This window comes from Homo sapiens, chromosome 7, assembly GCF_000001405.40.
Source record: "Homo sapiens chromosome 7, GRCh38.p14 Primary Assembly".
Lineage (NCBI taxonomy): Eukaryota > Metazoa > Chordata > Mammalia > Primates > Hominidae > Homo > Homo sapiens.
This window is the reverse complement of record NC_000007.14, coordinates 94,215,519-94,235,961: the sequence shown is the minus strand read 5'-3', so window position 1 is coordinate 94,235,961 and position 20,443 is coordinate 94,215,519. Positions and strand designations below refer to the sequence as shown.

Below are 20,443 nucleotides of genomic sequence, written 5' to 3'. Positions count from 1 at the left end.
ATTAGGTTGAGGTAAGTGAGGTATTTTTCCAAAGTGCAAAATCTAAGGGGACACCAAAACTCAGTAATCAAAATTAATAATATTTTAAAGCAATATTTAAAAAATCAAAATATATGTAGAAAATATATGGTGAACATATCAAACTTTTAACTAACGACAGCTGTTATTTGCTTGCTTTATGGCCTTACATTAATATGTGAAGGGGCCAGTCACTTCCATCAGCCCACAGCTGAGGGTTAACAATCGTGTGCCAATGGACTGGGCAATGTGGGGCTTTAGATATTCTTATATTTTTTTGATTGTACAAATTTTATTACTATGTTCCCCTTGGTTCAAAATATGAAAAGATATGCTGATACATGTCTATATAGGTGTACATTTTTTCTTTTGCCTCAGGGTACAAAAAGGCTTCATATGGCACTGCTACAAACACTGGCATTTGTGCTTCACCAGCTTTACGCTGTGGAGAGGTAGCTGTAGAATCAAATTAAAAGATGAAAACATTGGAGCCCAATTCAGTGAAGTGAGATCCCCTTTGATGAAATAGAGGGCACCATCCCAGCACTTTGGGAGGCCAAGGTAGGCGGATCATGAGGTCAGGAGTTTGAGACCAGCCTGGCCAACATAGTGAAACCCTGTCTCTACTAACAATACAAAAATTAGCCAGGTATGGTGGCATGCGCCTGTAGTCCCAGCTACTCAGGAGGCTGAGGCAGGAGAATCTCTTGAACCTGGGAGGCGGAGGTTGCAGTGAGCCGAGATCACGCCACTGCACTCCAGCCTGGGCAACAGAGGAAGACTCTGTCTAAAAAAAAATGAAAGAAAGAAAGAAATAGAGGGCACCAGGAAGAACTGCCGTACGTTGGTAGGACTCTGTATCAATGTCAGTATCATTAACTGCAGCAGTATTATCCCACCCCTAAGACCTGATTCACAAGGACAAGTTCCATCACTAGCAGCTATAATGGGTTTCCTTATTAGCACCACAAGGAATCTCTGGCCTCCTTTTTTCATACTATTTGGGAATCTCCTTCCAGCTCAAGGCAGTTAATCTGATGCATAGCTCCAGCCACAAGAAGGAAAACTACAAGAGTGGCCCTTTAAATTCCCAAATTCCTGTCCTTGAGAGTTTTTTGTTGTATTGTGACATGGTGATAGAGATTGAGGTTATTAAACTAGTTTGATATGCTCTGGGAATATTGGTGTAGAACATGATTTGCTCTTTGGGCTGGAATATTTAGACACTAGTTTCAAATGTGTAACACTCTGGTACCAAATTTCATAAAAACAGGAAGCAATTATGGGTGACCTCAGACTGTAAATCCAATCACCATAGGGGATTTTATGATTTTTTTCATGAGTGAGGATATGAAATGTATGTTAAGCCTAATGACAGTTTCTGGAATTCTGAGGCATCATTTCACTTTAGTCCCAGTCAATCTCACTTTTTCTCCCTAAGATACTCTTTCTCATCATTCTTTATCTGTATGTTAAATTCATTGTCTTTGTTCCTCAGTAGTTTGATATGCTTAGGAATGATTTTCTTTGTATTTATCCTGTGTAAGGGTTTTTTGAGCTCCCTGAAGCTGACATATTTCTCAAATTTGGGAAAATGTTTGCATTATTTCTTCAAATACTTTTTGTGCTGCTCTGTGTTCTCTCCTTCTGAGATTAGTTGATATGTACTGCAAATCACAGATAATTTTTTCCATCTTTTTTTCCATGTGTTCTACAGTCTGGAGAATTTTGTTGACCCAGCATCAAGTTCACTGATCTTTTTTGTTGTGTACAATCTGCTATTCAGCACATCCAGTAAGTCTTTTATTTCAGAAATTGTACATTTCAGGTCTAAAATGTCCTCTTCCTTTCTTCTGAGATTCTGTCTGCATTCTCATGTTCATCCCTCAAGTCCTCTAAACAGATTTATAATTTTTTTTTTAAAGTCTTTGCTATTTCTAACATCTGGATCATTTTTAGTTCTCTTTCTATTGACTGCTGTAAACTCTTATGTATTAAATTATCTGCTTCTTTACATATCTAGTAATTTTTATTATATGTTGGACACTGTAGATTTTATGTAGTAAAGAGTCTGGATAATGTTATTTTCCTTTAGAGATTATTGTTTTGTTGTGGCAGATAGTCAAATTACGGGTATATCTTATTAACACTCTCAGGCTTTGTTTTTATGCTTTATTAGGGTGGGTCTATTTCTGTTCTGCCCTTAGTGTCTGAGGATATGACTCTTCCTGTAGGGCACAGTCTTTCTGGGAGCCATGTGAATGCCTGAAATGCTGAATGAGGTCCATTTACTGTTGCAGGGCCAGAATTCCAGCAGCATCTAGAACTGCATAGCCTCCAATATTTTTGCCCAGCTTTCAGCCCCACAGCAGCCATTTTCTGCTTTGCTTCTTAGTAGTTCTCACTGTGCTAGACATCCTAGTTCTCAGCCATTAGCCTATGGAGAAACTCATGGAAACTTCTGCTGTTTCTGTCCTCTGTGCAGCTTCCTATTCTCTAATACTTTGCCTTGCAAATTAAATCCAACTCAGCAATCCTGAACTTTTATTTCTGTCTCCTTAGCTCCTGAGCAATGGAGACCAGTGCTCGTTAGCTGGGTTCTAGTACTCTTTACTGAGGCCAGGGGACTTCTCACAAGCAGGAAGGCCCAAGATCATCCCTTACATTGACTGTTATCTGATATCTGATAAAAGTGACTAGTTTTATAGTTGTTTGTGATGGGAGGGTAAGTCTAAAACCAATTACTCATGGCCAAAAGCAGATATCTCCCTGTTATATTTGAAAGTTATTACTTCAACATGCAAATTTCAGGAATCAGAAGCCTCCTCTCACATTTTGACTATGTACTTTATAGAAAATGTACAATCTGGGAGAGGCTGATGGTTACAAGAACTATCTTTGTAGATGGGAATGAGAAGTCAAAAAGAGATGTGAGAGTGTATAACAAAAACTTAATTCCTTTTGCTTGTAATCACTCTCATTTCTCTTCTTTCCCCTATAAAAAATTCTTTTTGATAGCATTCAGTTGGGTCTTCTGCTGATATCTCTTTTCTTCCACAATACCTTCCATAGAATATTATTTCATATACTGGTTTGGACTAATTTTATTTTTTGAACATTGACATCTTTGAATTTTTACTATTTTGGCATTTGATCTCTGGCCAATAAACCCCAAATTTTCTTGCATAATTAAGCTTAAACAATCCTTCAGACCCTAGTAATGCTGCACTGGGAGTGATTCTGTGCTCATGTATGTTCCCCTATACTCCTGATTCCTGACTTACCCACCCAGTGTTTGTCAATGTCATTTCTCTTCCTTGACTATACTTGTCTATGAGGTTGTACCACCTAAGATGATACTGCCCAATTTCTGAAATGCAGCTAAACTTGTTAATGTCACATGTGTTTTCTGGGGCAGTCTGTGTGGCTGGGTCAGTTTTTTTTCCCCCATGTCCCTGCTCTCTATTCCTCTTGCTGAATAGAGCGTAATTTGGTTTCTTCCAGCTCATTACTTGCTTGCTTGCTTCCCTACCTCTTGTTACTTTGCACTGTCCACTCAGATTACTTTGCAATAGAAGATTGTGGGAGGTTGTTAGCTGAGTACATACAATTGTGTTCACATAAGACAATTCTATAGATGTATGCTGAATTTGGGAAAAGTATGGTACTAAAGCCATCTCTAATTTCCAAAACTATTAGCACATACTTTGTTAATAGTTTCTCACTATTGGCTATAGCATGTAAAAGACAACCTGATAATGTTTTTAAGTGGTTAGCACTCCAGCTATAACTTAACGTATTTCTTTGGAATTTAGGGAAATATGCCATAATGTATATGACCGATGTGACATTATTGTAAGGAAATTCTTCAACTCATTGCTGTTTACATAAATGTCAATAGTAAAGTCATTGTTTTATTACTGGTAGCAAATTACGTATTTTATAAATATTGGCAGGCTGGCCTAGCCTGACTTCAAGGTCGAGGACTAGTTCTATAAAGAATCTCCATAATGAATCATACTGGTAGCATCTGTGGACACTGCAGTCTGTGATTCCTGCTTCTCACCTCCTCTCTGATAGTTATTGCAGCTTGCAACTGGTCCAGGGAGATGGAAAGAAGATCATGTCTTATCTACTTTGCCTATAGCAGTAGCTCTCAAACTTTTGGGTGTACTAGAGTCACATGAAGTGTTTGTCAAAACACAGTACAATTTTGAATTTCTGTTCCAGTTGGTCTGAGAGGAACCTGAGAATTTGCATTTCCATCAAGTACCCTGGTGACGGTTTTTGTGGAGAACTACCCTCCTAAGATATTTCAGAATCTTCTAAACCTGAAAATCCCCTAGAACTGATTCTCCTTTTAGATACTTCTGAGATATATTGTTACTGACTCAGCTTTAGTTGACCTTCTGTGGCATTACCAAAGTCACTTAATGCTTCTGTGTTTCTATATCACTGTCTGCAAGATGGAATATGTCATCTAAGGCTTAACGATGCTTAGGCTCACATGAATAGTGCTATGGATTTGCAAGTATTTATTTTAAGGTATTATTTTGCAGACTTGGAAAATTCCCCAGGGAAGTTATGGTTAAGGCTCCATATAGAAACTGAAATCCCTATTTGGCTTCAAAATTATTCACTCTTGAGCACTGGCTTACTCAGAAAAAAAAAATCATCTTTTTGTTATCTCAGTCTCTGTGAAGTTATAGTTAAAAATAATTTTTAAAGTTAAACTTTCATAAATCCTAACGCCTGTTGATGCATTTGGTTAAACTTCACAAAATTTGAGAAAAATGTAAATGCTAAGTTAGGAAACCTTTAGTTTTTAAGGCTTGTAGATATACAAATTTAAAAAAATATAAAATATTATTGTAATAAAGTTTGTTTCATACAAACAAAATATTGATATAATAAGAACGTCACGTTACATTGAAGGATTCTTTGGGTCAAAGCTCCAGGATAAATTTGTTTTATTTTGTCATCAAGGTTTCAGCTTTGACAAATGTTTACTTTTGGCATTCTGTATCTTTAGAGTAATAACTCACTTAAGACTCAGCTTTCGTATTTGATACTGATGATAATATTACACCATCCTTCATAAAGTTGTTTTGAATCCTTAAAAAGAGTATGTTGTGAAAATATTTGGGGGCAATATTGGTTACTAGGTAGTTGAACTCTCAACCATTTAAATGCGTTGATCCTGCAATAATTATACAAACAAAATTTTTAGTGGATTGCTGCTCTTCTCAAGGTGTAAGGGAAATCTCTATGGCAAATCAAAAAACTCGAAATGTCAATTAAAAATTAAAACAAAATATGAAACAGAAAAAAACCCAGAGGTAAAAGTTAGGATTGTTCCAGTCAAAAATCTCTTATCAGTTTTTGGAGTAGAGAATAAGCCCTGGGTTAGCAGAAAGGTGAAAGAGATGAACTTGAGATTCTCATATTAATTTAAGATGCTCAAAGTGGGATAAAGTATCCTAGCTCAGTGGTACCTTCTGGCTGTCATACCTATCCCTGGAGATCAGTATTCCTATTTTAGAATCTTAGGATTTCTATAGAGTAAGTTCAACAAAACAAGTTTGTAGTAAAAATGCCCAAGGAAACTAGCCACTGTGAGTGAAAGTTGAAAGGACAGCAAACAACAGATAACTGTCAACAAGGACTTCAAATATCAGAATTTGCATATGTGGAATATAAATACCTATATAAAAATTTTAAAAAGCAAATTTAAAATAAAATACTGAAACAAGAATATGTCAAAATGGCTAGGCATATTTGAAAATCATCCACATAGAATCTCTAAATTTAAAACAAGTCAAAATTAAAAGCATAATGGATATGTTAACCACAGAGTTAATGCCATAAAGAGAGAATGACCGAATTGAAATACAGACCTAAAGAAGCTCCACTAAAAGTAGCATAGAAGTAGAAGATAAAAAATATGAAAGAAAGTTTAAGAGTCATGGGAGACATTGTAGAATGAAAGAACTAATGTGCATTTATTTGAGGAAATACCTAAAGGCACAATGGCCAAAAAAAATTTCAGACTTGATAAAATACAGAAGTCCACCCATGTGGGAATCAGAATATATCTCAAGCAGAATAAAAAATAAATTCATGTTGTGCAAAGTTTTAGCAAACTTTTAGTGACAAAGAAAAGTTCTGGATAACAACCAGAGAGAGAGGGAATACATATTACCCATAAAGGAGTAGCAAATAGTCTAACAGCAGACTTTTCAACCTCAATAATAGATGTCAAAATACAGTAGAATAATATATTCAATATGTTGGGAAAAACTATATACTCTTCAAAATTAGATTTTAAGAACAAGAATGAAATAAAGATACTTAATGTAAATAAAAACTGGCAGAATTTATGATTACAAGACCTTCATTTATAAAGGCAACATATATATTTTTTAAAAAGTTGGAAGATCTGCAAGAAAAAGTGGCAAGCAAAGACAGCAGAGCTATTTTAAGATATCTAGACAAAAATAACCTGTATAAGATATTAATTTTAATAATACCCAATTTGGGAGTTAAACATATACAACTAACCTACTAGAAAAAAATAGTATGTATATTGGGAAGTAGTGATTGAAATGAAATTATTATGAAGCTCTTGTGTTTTTAGGAAAAAAGACTGACTTTAGGCTTTGTTTAATATGCCTGATAAAATTTTAAGGGTGTCTTTCAAAAATAGAAATAGAACTTACAATTTCTAAACAAACAGAAGGAAGAATTGCAATGAGACAAAAACAGATAAACTGACAGAGAATTCAATTATTTCTTCTTCCATAAGGGAAAAGGAAACAATAGTGAGACAGATAAGAAGCACACAAGTCAAAAGAGTAAAAACAAATAAACATATATGAATAAGAAAGTATCATTTAGTTATTGCCACAAAATTAGTAACAAATCATTCTACAACTCAGTGGATTAACACAATAAGCATCTGTGTTTATGAATCTTTAGGTTTGCTGAGGGCTCTGCTGAGCTAAGGTGGTTTGGATCTGCTCCACATATCTTTCATCCTCCTTGTAGGACCAGCTGGCTAACCTAGGGATATTTTTCTAATGGCTACAGCAGAGACACATAACAAGCATAATTCAGTCCTTATGCTGTGTTACATCTGCTAAAATATTATTTTCTAAAGCAAGTCCTATGGCCAGTCCTAAGACTGCTTCCATGATATGAGGTTAAAGACATAAATATTTATAAACAATAATCTTATGCAAAGAACAATAAATGTAATTAAATTCACCAGTTATTTATACCATAAATAAATATAGGTGTAATAAATCCCCTAATTATAGCAATTTAACTATAACTGCTAAAAGTTAAAGATAGAAATTGTCAGACTGGATTGAAGGGAAATATAGAAACTTAGGGGGACTGATCATAAAAGAATGGAAAAAGAGATAACCAGGAACATACAAAACAAAATAAAGAAGTTGTGAATGTTAACCCTCTGGAATGTATGGGGGTAGTGATGAGTAGGGAACACCAGGGGGTTCCTGGGGTGCTGGAAAGATTCCATTGCTCAGTTTGGTGAATTTAAACATAGAAAAAGCAGCAAGGCAAGCAAAGCAAGTGAGCAAGCAAGCAAGCTGTGGTAGCTGTATTAAATTGAATAAAATAAAACTTAAAACACAGAGCATTTTTAAAGATAAAATAAATATTTATAAACAGTGAGAGTTTCAATTCACCAGAAGAATAACAGTACTAAACCTGTATGGGTCTAGCTAAACACCAAAATATATGAAGCAAAATATGATAGAACTACAGGAGAAATTGGCTACTAGAAAAAATTAACAGATTCACAAACTCCCTATATTTTTATTTTTAGAACATCAGACAAACAATATAATAATATGAAGAATTTGAACAACCTATCAACAAGCTTGATTTCAGGGGCACACATAGAACTGTATTTCCAACAATCAGAGAATACACATTATTTTCTACTATATCTGAAGCTTTAAATACTAGAGTTTTATTTATTTCGAAGAATGTTATACAGATCTCAGTATTATTAAGATAGAAATAAATTAAGCAATGAATTTCACAGTCTTCATCCATTTGGTAATGGATAACAAATACTTAGAGCTGACTAATAATAAAATTAACATAAAACGAAGAATATTGAATCTTTTGAAGGGGTATGTGTGTGTCCTTTAATACTTACAATAGAATACAAAAAGTCTGAAAATTAATTTGCTGGTAATTCAACTTAAGATTTTACACAAAGAATCAGTAAAATAAATTCAAGGAAAATAGAATAAAAGATAATAAATAAGATAAATTAATGAAACAGAAAACATATAATGAAGAGAAGAAAGAAAGAAGAAAGTTATTTTAATAGACAAGTAATACATATAATCCTGTGGCAGAATTTACTAAGTCACAAAGACAAAGCCAAAGCAAAATAATATTATGCATGATTTTTTAAGAAAAAAATTGAAACATAAAATGTATAGATTTGTAGAAAAATTAAAACCTATTAAAACTGACTCAATAAGAAATGGAAATTCAGATTAGTAATTTTAAACCTCCCCATATTAAAAATAGTAAGCTCAATTTTATCAATGAATTCTTTAAATTTTTAAGCAAAACAGATCATTCTAACTTCATAAAAATTCTTTTAGGTAATGGACAAAGAGGAAATTCTACACAACTTATATTCTAATACCAAAACACAGTTAAGGACTATATGTGAAAAAAAATTATGGTCTGATTTTACTCACAGATGTCAATGCCAAAATGAAAAACACAGTACTAACAAACCAAATCTAGCAGTGTATAAAAATGATAATACATTATGATCAAGTTGCATTTATCCCAGAAATATAAAGGTATTTTAACATCATAAAATCAATGAATATGTTTCCCCACATTTATAAAGGAAAAATATCATTTGCTCATCTCACTGAAAGCAGAAAATCATTTCGTGTAATTAAACATCCATTCATGATTACTACCTTTCTAACTCAGCAATATAAGTATTTATCAAAACTTTACAGCAAACACCATTCTTAATGATAAATTTTGGAAATATTCCTTTTAAAATTAAGAATAAGACAATAATTCCTTCTATTGCTCTTCCTTTTCAATATTACACTGAAGTTTCTAGTCGATGAAATATAAGTAAAATAAATGAATATGTTTTTGAAGAGAAGAAACAAAACTGTTATCTACAAATAGTATTGTTTATATGGAAAATCCAAAGAATATAGAGATAGTTTCTTAGAATAAAAATAGGTTTATTAGGAAAGTGACTAGATATGAGATCAAAAACAAAAGTCAGTTGTATTTCTAAACACCAGCAATACATAGAAAGCGAAACTTTAAACCCACCATTTTCAGTATAAACAAAAATGATAATGTACTCAGGAATAAGTGTAACAAAATATGTGCAATGCCAGTATAGAGAAAATTATAAAATTTTATTGAAATACATTAAAAAAATAAATGCAGAGAGGTGCCCATATTCAGTTAGGAAAAATCAATATTGCTAAGATGTCAATTTTCTTTAAATTAAATGAGAGTTTCAGGGAAAATCCAATCCTACTCCCAAAAGTGGTTTTTGAGGAACCTGACTAGTTTATGATAATATTTGAATAGAAGATCAAGGGGTCAAGAAGAGCCAGGGCACTCCTGATGAATAAGAATAAGGTTAAGAGAATAGCTCTACCAACTACCAGGCCTGCTATCAAGCTAAGCTAATTAAAATAGTGTGGTCTTAGTGCAAAGGTAAAAATTTGTGCAACAGTAAGTCCAGAAGTAGACCTCTTCATGTACAGAAATAAGATATATAACTGAGGTGGAGTTTTATAAATTTTACAGTGATAGTTATTTATCCATAGAGGAGAAAAGAAAATAGAATTCATTCTTATATACAAAAAAGATTTCTGGATAAATTAAATATATTAGGAAAGATAAAACTTTACAAGTAAGAAAAAAATTTAAATGAATACCTTTATTATTTCAGAGTAGAAAGGTTTCTTAAACAAAATACATAAAGGATTAACTAAATGAGAAAAGTTTGATAAGTTAAACAGCAGATCTAAGCTCTTTAGCTGGAATTCCAAAATCCATAAGGCCATGAGATGTGAAAGTTTGTTTTTATATGCAACCTCGTTTGGTGGCAAAAACAGACAACATAAGGCTATTCATAGTGTTTATTTATAGCAGATGTAAATGTTCACCCATTGTGCCCTGGGATATATTGATGAGTTTGACTACTGAATTCTCTCTAGACTCTGTTGGGAATAATCATAATATATAAGATATGCCCTATATAATCTTTCTGAAATTGATAAAAACAATCTGAATCTGAAATACATCTGGTCCTGAGGTTTTTTAATAATGGATATGGACCTGAATATTAACATTAAGAATGAGAAACACATGCATTGTTATGTATATGTTAGCTGGATTTAGCCATTCTACAATGTACACATACTTCAAAACATTGTTTTGTATATGATAAATATAGAGAATTTTTATTTGTGAATTAAAAATAAATTTAAAAAGAGAAACATATTTCAGAATAATTGGTGATAAGGAGGTAAGAGAAGATATTAGAGGACTGCACAGGTACTTTGGTATATAGGGTAGGTAATATTTAGGTAAATGGGGTAGGGGGTCATGATTTTACTTTGTTTCAACACCTTCCATGTATGTTACATGTATGAAGTGTGTTATATATTACATAATACGTAAGTGCAATAACTCAGAAACAGTGAAATATCACATGTTCTCATAGTTGGGAGCTAAATATGTGTACACGTGGACAGGTTGTGGAGTAATAGACATTGGAGACTCTCAAGGGTGGGAGGAGGGAGGATCCTGAGGGAAGAAAAATTACCTAGTGGGTACAATGTACATTATCCAGGTGATGGTTACACTAAAAGCTCAGACTTCACTACTACACAATATATCCACGTAACTACACCAGAAAATTCAAATTATCTATAAATATCACATGAAGAAATGATTAAATATATTATGAAAATATGTCTGGAAGTTTTGTGTTACTTGAATAAAATGCTTCATTCAGAGAAATGATCTGACATTTCTGTGGTCACTACCAGCTCAAAAGAAAGTAATACTCTGTCGGTAGGTGTCTGAGTTTATTAAACCTATTTTGCCACTCAGTTGATATAAAGATATTTTTAGTAGATTGTAAACAAGAAAATCATGCATTGTTAGCTAAGTTGCCTCACATATTAATTTGCTCAAACTTTGATATTTGGTTTCATGCATTCTGTTTCTATGAACATCTTTTTGTTTTTATATTTTCAATAACTAAGGAATTTTAAGAGCATTATTTTAAATATATATACTTGTCACATTAAATATCTTGAGTTTTTATGTATATATACAAAGTTTTATTCCTTTTGTTCTAGTTGTTGGATGGAACACTAACTGTATTATTGTATCAAATAAATATCTCTTGTGGACCATAAAATAAAATGCAGATTGAGAATGTTTTAATTCTTTATTCTTTTTCATTTTTTAAAACAGATGATTTTTCTTCTCACAAAATTGATGTCATGGCTCTTGTCTTAAGCTACTTTTAAAAAAAATTGACCTGGTGCAATGTTCGTCCATGTGCACTAGAAATCCTAAACAAGAATATCAACTGTCCTTATTCTTAAACGTTAAAATGGTGGATGCTTAATGGATGGGTTGTCTTCGTATTATAAACAATGTGAATTGACCAGTTGAAAACAACTCGTCACTGCGAAGGTTTTGATTTATCTCTCCTCTTTTCAGATATGGGCTAATTATTCCATAGATAACCTCATCTCTTTCAAAGCAGGAGCCTGACTATTACGCCTCTTGTGTTGTGAATTTAATGCCATGGTAAAGAACACCCACTGCAAACCACAAAACAGCATTGAGTCGGAGAGAGAGAAAAGCTGCCAAAGCAGTTAATGTGATCTGGTTTGACAACCTTGGTTCCTGAATCAGGCATTCTTCCACAGGGTTTGGGCACTTAGGCTGTGAGCGGGAGGTGTTTAAACAGACAGCATCTGCCTCAGCAGCCAGCCTTCCTGCTGGCTCTCAACAGGAAGGGCATTCATCTCCTTCACATGTCTTGTGCATTAATTTAGCAAAACAGTCGTCCTGCTGGTAAGCCAAAGTAATCAGAACACACAGGAGATGAGACTTCAAAAAGAATCTGGAGCCATTTGAACAACTCTAGGACTGTCATTGGCATGCTTTGGGGCATATGTACTCAAAATGTGTAGACACCTCTTTGGAATCGGATTTTTGCCCAGATCATCAGGGATTACACTTATCTGAGGAATCTCCAGCCCCCTGGCTGAAATGCAGAGGAGAATTGCCCATAACGTGCCCTCAGGGCATAGGAGATTCCACAAGATGGGGATATTCTCAAAGGAAAGTAGAGTAGCCCTCCTAAAGGGACATTGATAAGCCTTTACCTTGCAGCGACTACTATCATTTTTTTTCTCCTTTCCTGCAAGAGAAGAGATCACACAGCAGATGATCTTGAACTTATTTACAGACTTATTGTAGAAAATAAAGCATTATTAAGATTAAATCTAACACTCTATGCAGGTTTTCTTCAAAAGGGTCAAAATATTCTCTATAATTTGCAATAGTCTGCTTTGTAAAAAAAAAAAGTACAGTTAAATATTTTGTTTCTTTTTAAAAATTAATAAACTGTTGAAAATTAGAAGTAAATACTAGTCACCATGAAAGAAGAACTAATATTTTTTTAACCTCCTAATCATCAGCTAGTATGTTCTCTAGACTCTAGAGATTTTAAGGAACTTAATTTATATCTACATGATTTTACATTATTACTTTATGTATGCTTCTATGGAGTTTTCTTTATTTATTAAAATATCATATAATCCTTGAAATATTTAAGGGCCACATCAGTAGAGCTCCAGACTCTCCAAGTTCAAATCCCAGAGGCTTTGCTTACTAAACTATATGACCTTGATCAAATTGCTTAAAGTTTTTTTGGTATTTTTCATCTTTAAAATAGTATATTATAAATAGCTATTTGATTTCATGTGATCGTCATGGGAATTAAATGGGCTAAACCATATAAAATGCTTAGAACTATTGAACTGGTACATAACTAGGTCCTCAGTATTCATTAGCTATTATTTTTATCTCCTCCTCAGTTCAGCACTTAAAAATTCTTACTCTCCTTTCACAATACCACACTTTTTTTTTAAATGAAATATGGCTCTGTAGAAAAGTTTTGCAATAGGAAACTTAAGCCAATTTTTAAAAAACCTAGCTTTAAAATAACCAGTGAAATGAAGCCGGTAAACAAATGATACTATTAAAATTTCCTTTTTATCACTTTAATTATCAGGAAAGGCTTCCATTTTTGCTTACATGGATTTTGAAAAACAACAAGTTTCTATGTAGAATCATAAGATATTAACCGAGTAACTTGTATTTTATTCTGATCTAGTGAGGTAGGTAAAGTTTTACTCCCTACCCAAGCCCACTTTAAATAGAGTAGCTTCAATTTTATGCATTTTTAATAGTTGAGCTCCTGTGAAATTTGCATTTGAATGAAAGGTATCTCATCAACTAGAATAACTAAAAATTTTGAAAACTTCATATTTAGTCCACACATCTCATTTAATAGATGAGAAAACTGAGGAGCTGAGAAATGATATAACTTGTTGACTGGATGGGATGTGCCCTCCCTAGAAGGCATGGGAAAAAGAATCAACTGAAAACAATTTGTAGATATTTTCTGTTCTTTATCTTGAATATGTAAAAAATTCCAAGCTATAAGCACTTTTATTATTATTATTATTTTACAATATCTCACTCGATAGCTACAAAACATAAATATGGAGAGTCAATGTGTTAAGTTAAACACGTAAATTATGAAACAGAATTTCTGTTCATTTTGTTAAACAATTGAGTACTTATAGAGTATAGGATTTTTACAATTATTATTATACTTTAAGTTCTAGGGTACATGTGCACAACGTGCAGGTTTGTTACATAGGTATATGTGTGCCATGTTGGTTTGGTGCACCCATCAACTCATCATTTACATTAGGTATTTCTCCTAATGCTATCCTTCCCCCAGCCCCCTACCCCCTGACAGGCCCAAGTGTGTGATGTTCCCTGCCCTGTGTCCATGTGTTCTCGTTTTTCAACTCCCAACTATGAGTGAGAACATGCGGTATTTGGTTTTCTGTCCTTGTGATAGTTTGCTTCGAATGGTTTCCAGCTTCATCCGTGTCGCTACAAAGGACATGAACTCATCCTTTTTATGGCTGCATAGTATTCCATGGTGTATATGTGCCACATTTTCTTAATCCAGTCTATCATTGATGGACATTTGGGTTGGTTCCAAGTCTTTGCTATTGTGAATAGTGCCACAATAAATATACGTGTGCATGTGACTTTATAGTAGCATGATTTATAATCCTTTGGGTATATACCCAGTAATAGGATTGCTGGGTCTAATGGTATTTCTAGTTCTAGATCCTTGAGGAATTGCCACCCTGTCTTCCACAATGGTTGAACGAATTTACACTCCCATCAACAGTGTAAAAGCATTTCTGTTTCTCCATGTCCTCTCTAGCATTTGTTGTTGCCTGACTTTTTGATGATTGCCGTTCTAACTAGCGTGAGATGGTATCTAATTGTGTTTTTGATTTGCATTTCTCTGATGACCAGTGATGATGAGCATTTTTTCATGTGTCTGTTGGCTGCATAATGTCTTCTTTTGAGAATGTCTGTTCATATCCTTCACCCACTATTTGATGGGGTTGTTTGTTTTTTTCTTGTAAATTTGTGTAAGTTCTTTGTAGATTGAGGATATTAGCCCTTTGTCAGATGGTAGATTGCAAAGATTTTCTCCCATTCTGTAGGTTGCCTGTTCACTCTGATGATAGTTTCTTTTACTGTACAAGCACTTTTAAAATATATTTCTACAAATTGTAGAGAAGCAAGAATGCATCAATTTTTAAATATTTTTCTCTGCATGACATATTTAATACATATCATGACATGTTATGTTTTTACGTGAATGATTTTGTTTAATATCTTTGAACAATATTCTATGCAGCTTTTTTTTTTTTAAATTCTTATTTTACAGATGAGGAATGTGAGGCCCAGGATCACGCAGTTAGGGGTGAAGCTATGATTCAAACCCAGCCTGACAGGCTGCAAAATACATGCTTTTAATCAGCCCTGTATTAAAAGGAAGACCACAGAAGTGTTAAGTCACCTATGTCTTCAGTAATGAATTTATAATTTGAATCTTCTGATGGCTTAATAATCATGATAAAAATTATTTGAAGTATAATGAAAACAAAAGCATGCAGTGGGAAACAAGTAATTGAAAACTAAATATAATGTAAGATAAAAACATTTTACTCACAGGAATGACTAGTGATGGGAATTTTAGATACCCTATTGTCCTAATGGGAAAAGCCATTTTTAATCCCTCTGTCTCCTATCAAATAAACTATTGCTTACTCCACCCAACTTCCTAGTGGAGGACCAGCCAGATACCTTCTAAACCAGGTATTTGCAGAAAATGCTCCTTTTTTATTTTATTTTATTATTATTATACTTTAAGTTTTAGGGTACATGTGCACAATGTGCAGGTTAGTTACATACGTATACATGTGCCATGCTGGTGTGCTGCACCCATTAACTCATCATTTAGCATTAGGTATATCTCCTAATGCTATCCCTCCCCCCTCCCCCCACCACACAACAGTCCCCAGTGTGTGATGTTCCCCTTCCTGTGTCCATGTGTTCTCATTGTTCAGTTCCCACCTGTGAGTGACAATATGTGGTGTTTCGTTTTTTGTTCTTGCAATAGTTTACTGAGAATGATGATTTCCAATTTCATCCATGTCCCTACAAAGGACATGAACTCATCATTTTTTATGGCTGCATAGTATTCCATGGTATATATGTGCCACATTTTCTTAATCCAGTCTATCAGTGTTGGACATTTGGGTTGGTTCCAAGTCTTTGCTATTGTGAATAGTGCCGCAATAAACATACGTGTGCATGTGTCTTTATAGCAGCATGATTTATAGTCCTTTCGGTATATACCCAGTAATGGGATGGCTGAGTCAAATGGTATTTCTAGTTCTAGATCCCTGAGGAATTGCCACACTGAATTCCACAATGGTTGAACTAGTTTACAGTCCCACCAACAGTGTAAAAGTGTTCCTATTTCTCCACATCCTCTCCAGCACTTGTCGTTTCCTGACTTTTTAATGATTGCCATTCTAACTGGTGTGAGATGGTATCTCATTGTGGTTTTGATTTGCATTTCTCTGATGGCCAGTGATGGTGAGCATTTTTTCATGTGTTTTTTGGCTGCATAAATGTCTTCTTTTGAGAAGTGTCTGTTCATGTCCTTTGCCCAATTTTGATGGGGTTGTTTGTTTTTTTCTTGTAAATTTGTTTGAGTTCATTGTAGATTCTGGATATTAGCCCTTTGTCAGATGAGTAGGTTGCAAAAATTTTCTCCCATTTTGTAGGTTGCCTGTTCACTCTGATGGTAGTTTCTTTTGCTGTGAAGAAGCCCTTTAGTTTAATTAGATCCCATTTGTCAATTTTGGCTTTTGTTGCCATTGCTTTTGGTGTTTTGGACATGAAGTCCTTGCCCATGCCTATGTCCTGAATGGTAATGCCTAGGTTTTCTTCTAGGGTTTTTATGGTTTTAGGTCTAACGTTTAAGTCTTTAATCCATCTTGAAATAATTTTTGTATAAGGTGTAAGGAAGGGATCCAGTTTCAGCTTTCTACATATGGCTAGCCAGTTTTCCCAGCACCATTTATTAAATAGGGAATCCTTTCCCCATTGCTTGTTTTTCTAAAGTTTCTAACACTTGTCATCCCATTAATGATGTTCTTGTCTCCTGACCACAAGTAGGATTAAAAAATACGATCTCCAGCTATGGCCCTAGAGTTAGTCATATGAAGTTTATTGTGATATTTCTCAGAAGACACATTTTACGTCTTATAACCAATGAACAATTTAATTCTTAAAATTTTCCAGTGAGAAGTTTTTCTTTTAAGTGTGGCTTGCTGTTTAGTGTTTTTTAGTGAAAAGAGGGATTTAATTATTGCATCCATCCTGTAAAAGATAGTAGGATTTTGAGGTTAACAGAGCAATTCATTTCTGACCTAGGAAAGATTGTAAAATTGGGTGATAACCCCCACCCCTTGAAGAAGTCAGTAGGGGTAGGTAAAACTCAGTGTCTACAACCACCCCCACCAAAAAAGGAGGGGAGTTAAGATCTACTCAAGCTTTTATTATCTTGAGCAAATAGTGATTACGAAAAGCCTTTAACTCTTTCCCTCATCACCCCATCATGACAATCACTCCTCCCACCCACAGCAGGTAGAATATACCTTCTCCTACTGTATAAATATCTCCACAATTTTTAAAACTTAGACTATCCACTGAAGCTAATATGGTCCCTGTTATATTCTGGTAGCACTTTCATTTTAAAAATAGGGAGGGAGAGTTGTTTCATTACAGACTGGTCATAAATGCTCAATTGCCTATAGAAAGAATCAAGAGTCAAAATGATCTACTAATCAGCAGCTGTACATCCAGATTTAGAAGGCAATCCAGACTTGAAGCTTTGGAACAGTCACTGTTTTGTGTTGCACTTTCCAAGGAAGGAACTAAGAACTCAGTATAGATCATGCCGAAAGTTGGAGATGGGCTTATAGAATATAAAGAACTCAGAGTGACATCTCTTCCCAAATTGTGTCTCAGAATTTCCTTCAATTCCTTGAAATCTCTGACTCTCCTGTGTGTCTAAAATACTAGAGTCCATGGACTACCCCCATGGCACACATTTCATTTGAAATGGCAAAAGTTCCTCTCTTATTAGGACTAGGTTGTAGTCAGTGAAATTACTATTCCCTATAGCTAACAGCACTGCTGTGGTGTGCTTAGTAAGTAATTAACCTGCCAGTTATATAAGTATTTAGACTTTGGTACGAGAGCAAACTCAACAGGTGATGGCAATTTTCATTAATAACTTTTCATGCTCTATAGGAAATGGTTAATTTTTCTTTTATTCCCCAGCTTTATTGATGCGTAATTGACAAAAATTATATATAAAGTGTACAATGTGATTATTTGATATACATATATATTGTAAAATGATTTCCACAATCAACCTATTTAAAATATCCATCACCTCACATAGTTACTGTGTGTGTGTGTGTGTGTGTGTGTGTGTGTGTGTGTGTGTGTGTGTGGTGTGAGAATACTTAAGATGTACCTGCTTAGAAATTTTTTCTAGGAAAAATGTGGTTATTAACTTTAATATTCTTTATGTTTGGAAAGATAAATATATTTTCAATTTCCAAAGTTCAGTTAGAAAGAGCACTTTCTAGGGATTTTAAAAAGTTGTCAAGCTCAATTTCCTCTAGGGAACCCTGCCATAACTTCATCCAGCATTTAAACAGTAAGCAGATTAAAAAAGAAAAAAAAACAGTAGATAGATTTTAAAACCCTTTTGTTATAGCATGCAATTGCTGCTATATTTGGCACACCCAGCAGGGACTTGCTATTCAGTAACAAAGAAGGGCAGTTTATCTGGTTTGCTCATTTTAGGCACTAGAATCGTAACTACAGTGACGATTGAAATCAGGTGCTTGAATTCCATCTATAATAAGATCCAAGAGTTCTTCTATTATGAAATTCATCATGATAACTAAATGAGATTGGCTGAAATAGCACTGAACAATGGACTCTATACAAGTGATACACATTTAGTGGACAGCATGACTAAAAATAATAAACAGTGGAACTCTGATAGCGACTTCCAGTCATTTCTCAATAAGAATTCATGAAGACATAACTAGATAAGGCCAAAGAACATATTGTCCTCATTCCTGTCTTCTTTCTAATTTATCTACTGTTTTTCTCCCTAACTCATCTGTTTCACCATCTTCTATCAGGCAGTGGAATTGTACTTCCATGGATATGCACCAGTTTGTTTAGTTTGAGCAGCTAGCACAATCTTTGGCACTTGTTAAGTTTTCAATAAACAAGTCTAGTGAGTGAGCACAGTTCTTTACTAGATTCACGGTCCTTATTGTCTTTCTGGTGTCGTCCCCATTGCTAAAGCCTTGGGCTTTGTCTTGGACTACATGTTATTTCTCAGCTAATTCTGAGATATTGGAATGGTGGAAATATTTTTTTTTCAAATTTAATTTGTTTTGCTTATTTAAAAAGTAATACTATTGGACAGTAATACTGTTTGTGGAAGTAAGTATAACTGTTTATTGTATTTTGAAAATATACTCAAGCATATTGAAGAAAAGAAGCATGATCCGTGATGTCACTGCTCACAAATAAATGCTTATTATTTTGAGAATTTTCATTTCTGTTATCTTATGTGCTTATGGACTATATGATATATTTAATTGAGCTAAAACTAGAATTATAATTTTATAGCTTGATTTTTTTGATTTAATATCATAGAATATTTCCCTAGGTTGTTAATTATTCTTCAAATCATTGGGTTTTAAATAAGTGGCTCTGGTATTTTATATTTACTTTATCATAGGAATTTTCATATTTTTTTAACCATTCTCTATTTGTTCCAATTATTTTCTTTGCTGTTGAAAATTATGTTTTAACCAGACTTTCTGAACTTAGACCCCTATATTTCTCCTACAATGCTTCCTTAGGATTAAATTCCTAGAAATGGAAATTTTGAGTTACAGAAAAAGAATATTTTAAGGAAGATGCAAACTGCTGAATTTATTCGGAGGGAGATTGTACCAATTTACATTGACTGGGCATTTTTCTTTCATGTAAAGATTAGCTGGTAGCTAGGATTCAAAATGAAAAAGGAACCACCATGGCACAGAAGCATAAAACCTAGACTGCTACATGCTGCCCTGTCTTACACATCACCTCAATTTGTAGCAGCCTGGGGTTAGGCTAGTTCATCATTTCATACCCATTGTTACTTAGGCTTTAACTGTTTATTAATGTTATTTTATTTTTTTACAAGGTGGGGTCTCAGTATGTTGTCCAGGCTAAGCTCAAACTCTTAGACTCAAGCGATCCTCTTGCCTTGGTCTCCCAAAGTGCCGGGATTACAGACATGAGCCATTGCACCTGCCCCCGCCTTTTTTTTTTTTTGAGAAGGCTCTGTTGCCCAGGCTGGAGTACAGTGGTGTGATCTTGGCTCACGGCAACCTCTGCCTCCTAGGTTCAAGTGATTCTACTGCCTCAGCCTCCTGAGTAGCTGGGATTATAGGAGCCTGCTACCATGCCCAGCTAATTTTTTGTATTTTTAGTAGAGATGGGGTTTCTCCATGTTTTCCAGGCTAGTCTCGATCTCCCGAGGTCAGATGATCTGCCCGTCACCTCAGCCTCCCAAAGTGCTGGGATT

General features: G+C 34.3%; 1 annotated feature.

The window, feature by feature from the left end:
* Positions 11,661–12,566: an enhancer, noted in NCBI's record as "OCT4-NANOG hESC enhancer chr7:93852708-93853613 (GRCh37/hg19 assembly coordinates)". NCBI's record gives its function as "activates a minimal SCP1, AML or CMV promoter by ChIP-STARR-seq in primed H9 embryonic stem cells {active_cell/tissue: H9 hESC(primed)}" and the evidence as "EXISTENCE:reporter gene assay evidence [ECO:0000049][PMID:30033119]".